This window comes from Homo sapiens, chromosome 9 (assembly GCF_000001405.40).
Source record: "Homo sapiens chromosome 9, GRCh38.p14 Primary Assembly".
NCBI lineage: Eukaryota > Metazoa > Chordata > Mammalia > Primates > Hominidae > Homo > Homo sapiens.
Window position 1 is genome coordinate 25,556,045 of NC_000009.12, and position 14,006 is coordinate 25,570,050.

At 34.4% G+C, this 14,006-nt stretch overlaps 1 long non-coding RNA gene across 1 annotated transcript in view; it reads right to left on the reverse strand.

Annotated features, from left to right (window-relative positions):
- The window catches only part of LOC105375996 (uncharacterized), a 28,178-nt gene extending 14,172 nt beyond the window's left edge, over positions 1–14,006 (reverse strand). The window contains exon 1 of the long non-coding RNA XR_929525.3: positions 13,958–14,006. This is a non-coding gene — a long non-coding RNA (uncharacterized LOC105375996). The remainder of the gene's footprint in view (positions 1–13,957) is intronic.

The window sequence follows — 14,006 nt, forward strand, 5'->3', positions numbered from 1 at the left end:
ACAGTTCCCAATGTACTTGTTTATCTGATGCAAGGTTAATGTGGTATCAAGGAATTTTATGGAATTAGAATTTCTCGTTATTGAACAAGAGTTACAACATCACCATCAAAGGCTTTGTATCAAATGTGATACAAAGGGAAGGAAAAAATTAAAAACTAATATAAACTAGGGCAGAATATTCTGATAATGACTTTCTCACATGGCATTTCATATTGTGCATGTTATGAATTGGTCCAGCATGCCAGAAAACTATATCTTTAATTGGCTTTATAACCATCTTTCCAGCCTCTGAAAGATATTAGCTAATAAAAGAGAACATGGCTTGCATTATTTAGGGCCTGAGTAATTAGGAAGTCAATCTCCAGACAAAGCTGATATGCTTCATTATTGGAAAAGCGGAGGCTACCACATTAACTACATCTTTGCTCTCTGAAAGGCACCCAACGACATGGTAGTCAGAGATCTGCTTCAGTATCCTCTCTGATCTGAATTGCTTGCAATGTACAGAAAACTTGTTTTTCTTTAATTTGAATTTAAATAACAGTCCCTACCAACTGGTTGAGAAACATTAGTACTTTTAGTTTCCTTTGGGATAAAAGAAACTGGTTTATGTATCACAGACCACATCTAATTCTTAGTCTCTCATTCAGTCAAAGCAGCATTTGCTATTACATGCACTGAAATTGGAAAGTGCTGACCAAGGGAAAAATAAATTAAAAGGAAATTAAATTCTCTCTCACAGATGGAGAGAGTCAATCAGTTATGAACTTCAGTGAAGTGAAAATGTAATATGCAGTGGCTCAGGATTTTGTTTTTGTCTGTGTGTATTGTGCAAGAATGTATATGTGTGCGTGTGCATATCTGCATTAGAAACACAGAAAATTCTCAGGCCTCCTAAGAATGTTGACATTGAAATGAACAACAGGCATTGGGTGTAACAAGAGTTCTTTCAAGTGAACACTAGAGCATAGTGTCCATGGCTTCATGTTTAGGTGAAGGTAGAAATAGGTGTGTCCACACTTTGATTTTAAGGACTAATTGTCAGTGATTCTTTAGACCCCAATTCAATTCACTTCAGTAATTTGGGTACTTACTACGTGCAAAACTCTTAGTTGAGTCCTAAGATATGTTCAACGTTATATAAGACTAGCCTTTGCCCATAATGTATATGTGATATAATAGCCCTGTTACATAATTTAAGAGGTATTGCGGAGACTTTAAAAAGATAATAATCAATGACTCATTTTCTTAAAAATAAATGTCATGAAAATGGAGGAACTGTTATGATCATTAGAAGACACTTAGACATCAACAATATGTGTGGAATTTGTTTATATCCTAATCTGAACAAACCAACTATAAGAAGATAACTTTAAAACAATTCAGAAAAAGTGAGCACAGATGAGGTATTAGATGATATTGCAGGGAAAAATTATGTGGTCTAATTTTGTTTTTAAATGAAAATAATTAACTTGAACTGGCAAGCCTGGTTTGGATTCTCCATTAAAATCACCAGTAACCTGAGTAAAATTATTAGGTGATACTTTTGCATTTTGATGTTGATTAAAATAGATTACTCCTGCACCCCTACGCGGGCACGCTCACGTGCACGCATGCACACACACATACACACACACACACGAGCACTCTAATTTCCTTAACCTTAGAGTATTTGGCCTTTTCTGTTTCATTTTATATGCCAGAAAACTGACATAACATTACTGAGTTGAAGTCAGAGGTAAATAGCAACCAGTGCTAGCTTCCTCACTTGGTAGTTAGGTAACTTGGCCAGGTTACTTAAAAAACCCCAGATGCTACATTCTCATCATTTGTGAGATGAAATCATATTACTGATCATATTAGTAACCACCGTTGTGATTGGGGAGAGGATTTAATGAGAGTGTGTCACACAGTGCAAATAGCTTAGAGGAAATAAATTAGAAGGACTATCTGAAAATAACTATCTTAGAATTCATGGCAATGGTTAAAGTAGCATAAAGTTTCCATTATATGTACTTTCTACTTCCTCTCATGTGATGTTCAGAGAACGCTAAAATCGGGAAGGGAATGTACTGTGGAAAATACCTAAGTCAGAAGTCATACTTTAAAAGCCAGAAATATTACAAGCTTACTCCCCAGGGTTCTCAGTATCAAGATAAAAAAAAATACCCAGTTTATATAAGCTAAACTATGCATTTCAAATTATCTCAGTGATTCAAAGGGTCTTAGCTACAAAAAAAGTGACTTTTAAGACTGTGAAGAAGGGATAAAATATAAATATAATCAGAGAGATACATACTAGAGGCTTACGAAGATTCATAAGCAAAATACATAATTTCTAGTTTGGGAGAACAATGAAAGCTTCATGGAAGAAGCAGCCTTTGAAATGGGTTATAGAAAACCGTGATTTTGACAATAAGCTGAGGATAAAAGGAGGATATGTCAAAAGCAGGGAGTAGTCGGAACAAAAGCAGGCAAACCAGTATGGACAAGGGTTACCTTCCGTATCTCCACAAATGTTGAGTAGTAGACCACAATAAAAATCACTGGAAGATACTTTTCTTCAAGATTTGACTTTGGAATCTTAAAAACATTTATTTTTAAGTTTTATTGACTTTGTTTAATATATTTGGAGATATAATTGAAATTTACATGTGCAATTCAATTTAATAAGTTTGACATAGGTATATAACTGCAAAATGAACATTACATTCAAGATAGTGAACGTATCCATAACTCCTAGAAGTTTCCCATGTCCCTTTGTGATCTCCCCCAACTCCCTATCCCAAGTAACTACCGATTTGTTTTCTGTCACTATCAATTGGATTACACTGATATACCTATGTACATATATCAATCTGGAGATTTACATAAATACAAGTACATATTATGTACTCTTTTATATCTAGTTCTTTGACTCTATACATGTTGTGAGATTCATTCATGTTGTTGCATATATTGAGTTCAATCCTTCTTATTGCTGAGTAGTATTCTGTTATTTAAATATACCAATTTGTTTACCCATTCATTTATTGATGGACATTTGGGTTGTTTTCATTTTTGACTATTCTAAACAAAGAAGCTATGAGCATTTAGGTATAAATTTTTCTATGGATATAGGCTTTATTTTCCTTTGGGTAAATAATTAGGACTGGAATTGATAATTTATATGGTATATATGTGCCTAATATTTTTGAAACTTCTAATTTTTTTCCCCAAAGTGTTTGTATTATTTTACATTTCTATCAGCAGTACGTGAAAATTGTAGCTCTTTCACATTCTCAATAGCATTTGATATTGTCGATCTATTTAAGTATATCATCTAGAAGAAGTGTAGCAGTATTTCATTGTGGTTTTAATTTGAATTTACCTGATAACTAATGATGTAGAGCATCTTTCATGTGCTTATTTTCAATGGGCATACATTCTTTGGTAAAATGTTCAAATATTTTGCTAAATTTTTAGTAGGTTATTTGGTTATAAATAAGTGTTTAAATGTGCATTGAAAACTGAAAAAAAAACTTTGTCAGATTTATTCCTAGTTATTTCAGATTGTCTTTGTAAATGGTATTGTCACTGTAAGTGCATTTTGTACATTCAAAAAGTTGAGTAGAGACAACAAAGATATAAAAATATAAAAATAGAACTTCTTATAAATATGAAAACTCCAATGTCTATATGCAAAAATATTGTGGAAAGGATTGATGCAATTAAACACTGCAAAGAAATGAGCTCTACATTGAATAGAAATAGCAAGAGATGGAGAGCATCCTTGCCTTGCTCCAGATCTTAAACTAAAAGTTTTTTATTTTCACTACTGAATATGATGTTTAACTGTGGACTTTTCATATAGATGGTCTTTATTGTATTGACAAAATTTCACTCTATATCTAAGAATTTTTGAGCTTTTATTATGAAATGTTGTTGAATTTCACCAAATGCTTTCCGGCATCTATTATGATGGTCATATGATTTTTGAATCCTTTGTTCTGTTGGTGTGATGTCTTTGCCAGATAAATTAGGCAAGAAAAAGAAATAAAAGGCATCCAAATCAGAAAATAAGAAGTAAAATTATCTTTGTTTTCAGATGACATGAACTTAGATGTAGAAAACTCACAAGACTCCATGCAAAAAAACCTATTAGAATTAATAAACAAATTCAGTAAAGTTGGAGTACACAAAATCAGCATATAAAAATGAGCAGTGTTTCTATACACTAACAGCAAAATATCTGAAAAAAATTTAGAAAACCATCCCATTTACCATAGCACCTAAAATAATAAAATGCTTAGGAATAAACTTAACCGAGGAGCTGAAAGAGTTTTGTACACTGACACCTATAAAACGTTCATGAAAGAAATTCAAGCAGACACAAATAAAATAGGAATCTCATGGTTAGGGTTCGAAAAAAATTAGTATTGTTAATTAAATATTCATACTACCCAAACTGGTCTACAGATTTAATGCAATCTCTATCAAAATCCTTTTGGCATTTTTTACAAAAAAGAGAAAATCATAAAATTAATTGCAAACCACAAAAGACCTCAAACAGTCAAAAGAAAGTTTGATCAAGAACAAAGCTGGAGGAATCCATGTACTACTTTCAAAATACATTAGAAAACTACAGTAATGAAAACTCTGTGGTACTGGCATAAAGATAGACAAAACAAGTGAGCCCAGAAACAAAACTAGGGATATATGGTCAGTTGATCTTAAACAAGGTTGCCAAGAATATACAATAGAGAAAGGATACTTTCTTCAACAAGAAGTATTGGGAAAACTGGATATCTACATGCAAAAAAGAAAAAAAAAAAACGAACTCTTGTCTTTCATGGTACACAAAAATTAACTCATAATGGTTAAAGATTAAACACAGGACCTGAAATTATAAAGCTCCTAAAAGGAAACATAGAGGAAAATCTTCTTGACATTGGTCTTAGGAATAATTGTTTGGATATGATGCTTAAAGCAAAGGCAACAAAGCAAAAATAATCAAGCAGGATTGCATTCAATTAAAATGTTTCTGGAGAGTGGAAGAAACAATCCACATAATAAAAAGTCGACCTATGAAATAAAAGAAAATATTTGCAAACTATGTGTCTGGTAAAGGGTTAATATTCAGAAATATAAGGAACTCCTACATCTCAAAAGCAATAAATCTCAATTTTAAAATGGGCAAAATAATTGTATAGACATTTTCCAAAACAAGACATACCAATGACCAACAAGCTTATGAAAAGGCATCAATATCATTATCATCAGGGAAATGTATATCAAAACAACAATGAGATACCACCTCATATCTGTTAGGATGGCCAGTATAAGAGAAAATAAATGGCTGGGTGTGGTGCCTCATGCCTGTAATCCCAGTACTTTGGGAAGCGCAGGTGGGTAGATTACCTGAGGTCAGGAGTTCAAGACAAGCCTGGCCAACACGGTGAAACCTCATCTCTACTAAAAATGCAAAAAAATTAGCTGGGCACGGTGGTGGGCGCCTATTATCCCAGCTACTCGGGAGGCTGAGGCAGGGAATCATTTGAACCCAGGAGGCAGAGGTTGCAATGAGCCGAGTTCAAGCCACTGCACTCCAGCCTGGGCAACACGAGCGACACTCCCTCTCAACAACAACAACAACAACAAAAATAAAAACAAAAATAAATAAACCCAAAAGATAACAAGAGTTGGCAAGGATGTCGAGAAAAAGAAACACTTGTACATGTTGATGGGAATGTAAATTAGTGCAGTCACTCTGGAAAACAGTATGAGGGATCCTCCAAAAATTAAAAATAGAACTTCTATATGATCCAGTCCCACTTCTGAATATGTATCCTGTGAACCCCAAATATCTGAGACAGGTCTCAGTCAATGTAGAAAGTGCATTTTGCCAAGGAGCGCATGGACACACTCACGACACAGCCTCAGGAAGTCCTGACGACATGTGCCCAAGGTGGTTGGGGCACATCTTGGTTTTATACATTTTAGGGAGGCATGAGACATCAATCAATATATGTAAGATGTACATTAATTTGGTCTGGAAAGGTGAGACAACCCTAAGTGGGGAGGGGGCTTCCAGGTCATAGGTAGATAAGAGACAAATGGTTGCATTCTTTTGAGTTTCTGGTTAGCCTTTCATTGAATATGCAATTTACCGGCATAGTCACTTATCACTCAGTCTGGCTTAGTGAAACAATAGGGCAAAAGAAGCAATCAGATATGCATTTGTCTCGTGTGCAGAGAGATCACTTTGAGTTCTGTCTGTCCTTCACCCACAAGGAATTTCCTTGTGGGCAAATTGTGAGGGAGGTATGTAGCAGTTTTATCTTTGTAGCTATCTTATTTAGGAATGGAATGAGAGGCAGGTTTGCCCAATGAAGTTCCCAGCTTAACTTTTCCCTTTGGCTTGGTGATTTTTCAGTCCCAAGGTTTACTCTCCTTTCACAATCCAAAAAAACTAAAACCAGCATCTCAAAAAGTTTCTACACTCCCATTTTCATTGAAGCATCATTCACATTAACCTTAAATGTCCTTAAATGTCCATTGATAGATAAATGGACAAAGAAAATGTAGCATATACAAACAATGGAATGTTATTCAGCCTTTAAAAAGAAGGAAATTCTGCCATTTGAAACAACATGGTGAATGTGGAGGATATTATGCTACATAAAATAAGCCAGATACAGAAGGACAAATATGAGGAATTATTTGACAATTATATGAAGAATTTTAAATATTGGAACTCTTAGAAGCAGAGAGTAGAAAGGTGGCTTCCAGCGGAAGGGGAAGAGGGAAATGGGGAGGTAGTAGTCAAAGGGTACAGGGCTTCAGTTATGCAAGGTAAATAAGATCTGGAGATCTATTCTACAGCATAATGCTTGTAGTTAACCATTTTGTATACCTAAAAACTTTCTAAGAGGGTAAATCTTATGTAAGTGTCAAATAATGATATTTATTAAATAGGGTGGAAGAAACTTTTAGGGTTAAAAGATATGTTAATGGCACAGACTGTGGTGATGATTTTATGGATACTTATCTCCAAATTCATCAAGTTCTATGTGTTAAATATGTAGAACTCTTTGTATGTCAATTATACTTCAATAAGGTTTTGTTGATAAAATATATTAGTTGGTCAAAAATGACATTCAACATATAATAAAAATTCTCAATAAAGGAATACGAAGCTTAAGCAATAAATGAACATGACATAATGAAGAAACGGTAACTACTTGGATAAATGCATAAGATTTTTAAATTATTATTTAAATGTGTTTAAAAGATAATTGGCTGTTTAAACAAAAATTTTACTCTTTTGGATGCTGGATATTTTGTATTCCTGTAAATCTTCTTGAGCTTTTTCTCAAGATAAATCATTTGAAAACAGTTTTATCCTTTTGGGTCTTGCTGTGAAAATTCCTTAGGTACGTTCAAAAATAATAATTCCTCTCTACTAAGGCAGACCCCTTCTGATGATTCTACCAATGACCAGTGACTAATGAGGTCTTTCAGTTTGGCTGGTAAGAACAGGCACTACTCTTGGCCCTGTGTAAACTCCAGACAAAGTTCCCTCCAATCATTTTGGATGTGTTTTATTTCCCCTCGACCCCATATAGTTTCTTCATGTCCGCGCACTGGTCAGTACTCTGCTGAAGGCTTATTGGCGACTGTCTACAGATCTATATATTCTCTTTTTGTGCAGTCTCCTGTCCTCCAAACTCTAGCCACCTGGATCTCCCACAGCGCTCACCTCTACCTCAATTCAGGGAGTCCTTCAAGCTTCACCTCGATACCCCTCCCTAATCAGCAGGAACATTGCACATTGCATCAGCTTAGTGCCTGGAAACTCTCAAGGCACTAAGCTAATGCAGTCATGGAGGTTGCCTCCTCTGTTTTACATCTTGCCGGGACCACTGTCCTTTATTGTCTGTAGTGCAGTTTCTTGAAAACGACTGTTTCACAGCTTTGTTGCTGATTTTGGTTGTTTCCTGAGGGAGAATATACCCAATCCCTGTTATTCCTGTCTTGGTCAGAAATATAGGTCCTGAACAGTTTAATAGAAAGAGCTTACACTTTCCTGCTGAAGCATCTGTTCTTGTTAGGAAGGATAATTCTAGACTTTTTTGGGGGGGGGAAATTTCACATATTAGAGGACCACTGGAAGGCATAGGAAAATTTCTGTTCCAGGATGTGGATTATACACCTATTTATCCTTTTCCCCTGATATTTTATACCCATCTTCCCAAAAAGGAGAAGCTGGATAAGAATGGAATGATTATCCATGCAATGAGTGACATCAACAGAGGACAGGGAAGATTTGTGGGAGAGAGCCACGTTATTATCCTCATTACCTCGTTATTACTATGTCCCATGATACTTCCCATCTTGATACTCAAATTGACTAATGGGATACTGAAAGAGAACTCTGAACTACTATCATTGTTGATTCCAGGGACTATTGCTGGCTAGGTATTGTTAACAGATTATTCTCCTATAACCTAGAGCCAGACATGTGACAGTGCCAGGAACCCTGGGGTAACTTGAAAGGCAATGACTTCCAGTTGCTTCAGCCTAGAAAAACAGAACACTCAAAGATGTAACCTGTTCCTTTAACACTGTAAGTCAGTTTGATTCAAGCACAACATAAGAAAAAAATAATTGTATAACCCACTTAATCCTAACTGGCAGTGGTATACTTTGTACATTAACATGATGTATCCTCAGTTCTTGAGAATGTCATTCTTTCTTCCCTTCTATTACTGTTGCCTGAAGAGCTGCTTCCTACATTGGGTCCATTAGTCCACTGCAAAGCACCTAAAAGAGCTTTACCTATTCAGTCCCACAGGCATTCACATTTCTACCTCCTTTCCTCAAAAATAGGTTTTATTGAAACCTAACTATCTTTTCTGTCTGCTTAGAGCTTAATGTATTTGAAGCCAGTCAAATCTGGGACCTTAAGAGTATCTCTCAAATTTATTCTTCTCGTTAATCAGATGGAATAATAACAGCCCTCGCCCCCACAAAGTATAGTTATGATTTTAAAATTAGGTAAATTGAATTTCATCTGTTGTACACAGGTTTAATAATTCAACCTGAAGTTCTCAACATTATTTTTATTCATTATATTAATATTATATTTTAGGTATTGTGAACTACTCCCTTGCATGCTAAATACTTTTAGCATTGGCCTTACTGATGAACTCTAAAATAATCCCAAAGGCTGAGTTACCATCTTCCACGTTCAAGTCATGATGTACAGGAGCAAAGTTCTGGGGCCCACTGTATTAGCCTTCTTTCACGGCCTTTGAGGCCCATGCTGTTAGAGTTTGAAGTCGTCATTTGACTACTGCTACATTTCTGTTTCTCCCTCCTTCTCCTCTACTCTCCTTCTTCCTTTCCATGTCTCATTATACATTTTAATTTGCTTAATTCTGACAGAAAAATAAAGTAAGTATGGCTAAATATCTAACTCTTCAATTGATATTTCAAATGAACAAAACAGATCTAGATTTTCTATATATTGGTCATAAACCTACTCCTGAAGAAGTCATCTTGATAGTCTTGGCTTCTAGCAAAAGCCTACAATATTTCCTTATTCATTAGCTAGTATGGTTCTCTTTACTGAGAAATAAATGCACAGGGTCAATCCAAATTAAAATACCCCGCTTTTCATCAAGTCAAAGATACTCTTTATTTTTAACCCAATTTTGATGATACGTGGTAGTAATTCATATATGGCTCCCTCCTACCTGAGAATCTCAGCCTACTTCTCCTGAAATATAACAACTAGGATGGTTTTGTAAAGTAAAACCTTTCCCCCAATTTTTTCAATATCTGTATAAGCTTCACTTTTCAGGTTTTAATTTTGGGGAGGGAGGGGTTGTTTGTTACATAAATGGGAGGAAAGTACATGGATTGTTCTACACCATGATTTTTTACTTAATAATATGTCTTGGAAATCAAATGTGTATTTATTGTGGCATTTTTGTTCATTTCACTTTGTCTCCCCCTACGGCCCACCACCACTGAACATATTGTATTCTGCTATGTTCTTTTATCAACATTCAGAGAAATTCTTCTGCTATCATCTTTTAATAATTACTTACCAGGGATGTCAGGAGGTAATCCCAGAGTATTACCTGTGCTAAAGGAGAAGAAATTGGCAGTTTGCAATAATAAAACCCTGTCTGAGTGTTCTCTTACCTGAACCATTTTGTATGACTTCAGCAGTCTCGGTTTATTTTATTCTTTAGCTCAAAAGCCTTCTTTGGTCCCAAATACTTATTGAACCAGATACAATTTATCTTAACTCATCATTTAAGATGGAAATATCTGCAAATCTCTATGTCCTAGTATTCCTATACACATATACCATGTTTTGTTCAATGTGAGCTTAGTCCATAAAGAGACCCATGCGTTCCTAACTCCCTGTCTTTTCTTAGATGTTTTACTCTGTCTAGAACCCCCTCTGCTCTCCTCCAATAGTCAAAAAGCCACAAAGCCTTTTTTGTTTTCCTAAAGCAGGGTATGATATCACTTTTATCTGAAGTCACATAATATATTGTTTATATCTTTTAACACCTTTGTATTCCTCTTGAATTAGACATATTTGCATACTAACTATTCCTTCTAGGGTGATGATTAATAACTTGAGAGCAGTGCCAAGGTCGTCTTCTTCTGTGTATGCCATGCAGTGCTCAGCACAATATCTTAGGTGAAGTAAGTGCTCAATAAATATTTGCTGATTTGAACTGGGTAGAATTTGGTGCTTTTCTCCCCCAGCATGGGAATAAGTTTCTGATTTATGATGAGAATCAGTGGGAAGTATTTCAACTAGGCTTACTGGAGTTTATCCATTCCATTAAGTGAAAAGTAACTGTGCAATAACTAGGTAGGTGTTTATATTTTTTTCTACAGAGTGTAAAAGTTCAAGTTTTTCATTTAATGATAACAATCAAAAAAACAAAGGAAACTATCAGCAGTAATAGTTCCCATTACCGTGAACGAAAATATTTGGCTTTTAATAAGAGACAGACCAGAATGCAATGGCAGAGAAAGTGATCTCAAATAACAATCATTTTTCCCTAGAACTGGCTGAAGTCATAAAATGGAAAAGATTATATGGTGGCTATGTTGTAATAAATAGAAAGCATAATCAATCAAGTTAATTACAAGAAATAAAAACAAATTTTATCTTTAAATAAACAACGTGAGCCCAATTTCTCACTTGCCAAGAGAAAACAGATTTTCTTGGAGCTGATTTCTGAGTTTTCAATATAAATAATATTCTCTCATTCAAAACGAAAAAGAAACAACAAAAAAGTGAGTCCTTACTTGATAGGTTAACTTTCGTTTCTGTCAAATTCTTTTAAAAAAAATTTTCTCATTCACATTGGAGTCCCAGAACTTAGCATATGTCTATAGTCTATGATGAGCCATCTTAGGAAAAACAGGAATTTTGCTACCAGATATTGGAGAAAATGGCATTAATACTCATAAAGCCAGTGACACCAGGCTGCACAGGGCAATCATTTTTCACTTCAGCAGCACCACAGCCCTCTCCACATTGGCTTCCACTATTTCCATTGCGAAAGCATCACGTATCACATTTGTACAACGTGTATTAAATGAGTTTTTTTGAACTTGCCAAGGGGACAAGGGGTGCAGAAATCAGCCCATGAAACTTTTCCATATGGGGAAAATCATTATTACTTCCAACTGAATAGATGGAAAAAAATTTATTTTAAATTTGTAAAGAACTTTTGGAATTTAATCTATTTGCAAACAAAAAGTGTATTCTGATCTAATTGTAGTTTAAGGAGAAATACAAGAGTAAAATCGTGTACCCTCATTTTATCAATAGACAAACAGGTTTGAGAAAAACACATATTAAGGTAGAAAAGTAGAAAGAAGCCAATAAGCCAATAATAAGTTTAGAAAACAAATGTATTTTAACAGATTTTGTTCATTTGCTGAATTCAGATTCCACATTTATTTGGCTTTTTGTTTGCTTAAGTTAGAGCAAACAAAGTTAAAGGGAAATATGATTATTTATAAAACTGGTTATGTTTATAAGATTTTCTTTAAAGGAGAAGTAGCGTAGTTTTTCTTGGTATTATGTTTCGTGAAAAAAAATTCTCAGGTGGCTTTCAATTTGTCAGATACCATGATGCATTGAAAAATTTTCCTGGTAATGATTACGTAGAATATGGCATATGGTTGTTTCTTATAACAACCTCTTCATCACACAGCATCAATAAAAATAATGAAATAGTTAACAAGTATTGACCATGTATCATCAGCCACATCTAGTGCTAAATGCTATATATTTACTACCTTATTTAATTTTCACAGGAGATATTTTAATTAAAATTTACTTTAAAGATAAAGAACCAGGGATTTGGAGACATCAAGCAAATTTTTCAAGGTCACACAGCTGCCAAAAGAGGCAGGCAGAACTCAAACCTAAGACTGGCAGGCAGGAAGATGCATCTAACCGTACAGCTCCTCTAAGTATTTTATAAATGAACAAAATTAGTGGATCTGATAATAATAACAAGCAACATTTATTGAGTGCCTATTATGTGTGAGACACTCTTCCTATTATCTTACATGTAACAATTCATTTAGACAGTATAAGGACCTATGAGTAAGTACCAGTATTTGAAAGAGAATTATAAAAATGCTGCAGAGCGTTTAAGCAGCACTTACTTGCTCAATGCCACATGGCTGGTAAGAGCAGAGTTAGAGTTCAGGTTCTTGACTGCCTAATCTTCAAATAATGTTTTTTTTTTTTTATATCCAAGCTTTTGAAAATGGAACAGCAAGAATCTTCAAGATATATTCTTTTCGTTATTCATACATAGTATTTGTACATATTTGTGGGGTATATGTGATATTTCATACATGTACACAATGTGTAATGATTAAATCAGAATTTAGAATACTCATCACTTTGGACACTTATTATTTCTTTATGTTGGGAACATTTCAAATCTAGTTATTTTAAGATGTAAATGAACAAAATCAATGAATCTAATAATAATAAAAAGTAACATATATTGAGTGCTTATTATGTGTGAGACACTCTTTCTATTATTTTACATGTAACAATTCATTTAGACACTATAAGGACCCATGAGTGAGTACCATTATTTCAAAGAGAACTGTAAGGTGCAGAGAGTTTAAGAGTTAACCATAGTTACCCGACTGGGTTATTTTTTCTTTGTCTTGAATTAGAGATTAATTATAATTTTGAGGTTTGGCTGTAATGGAGAGACCCAGTGAAAATAGGTAGGAGGATTTTGCAGTTATCCAGGCATGAGGTTTATGAGTAGCTATTTTACTAATAGTAGAAACTGAAAGAAAAATAACTGATTTAAATTACACATTAAAGAACAATCACAATTTACTAACTGGGTTTAGGGAGAGAGTGAAAATGGCTGCAAATTTCTGAGTCAGAAAAAAATGCTGTTTCTGTTGCCAGTAGTCACTAGGAAGGAATAGTCGTTGAGCAAGTAAATTCATTGCTTATTAATACTTATATTTATTAGCTATTATTGTGGCATTCTATCATCACTTGGGTTGATAGCTTTTTGCAATATTGTATTGTTTATAAAAAGAAAAAAATAAGCTATTAAAGTGAGACAAATAGTAGAAGCTGGTTCTGGTTCATACTATGCCACTCACTAAACATATGATATTGGAAAAATCACTTATTGCCCCTGAACATTAGTGTTTTCAGCTATATAATATACTATCTTCACTTACAAAAGAGTTATGAAGATCAAAACAATTAAAGAATGGAACATTGTTTTATAAGATATATAGAAATGACAAATAGAATGACTATCACTGTTTTCTATGTCTAAGCCACTACTCATAGAATGCCAACAGCCTGGTTGTACTCTCTCTAAATAATATTTTTGATGGTGGCAAGGATTCAGATCTCAGCTCCGCCACTTACCTTATGTTTGATCATGAACAAATTACTCAAACTCTCTGTGTCAGTTCTG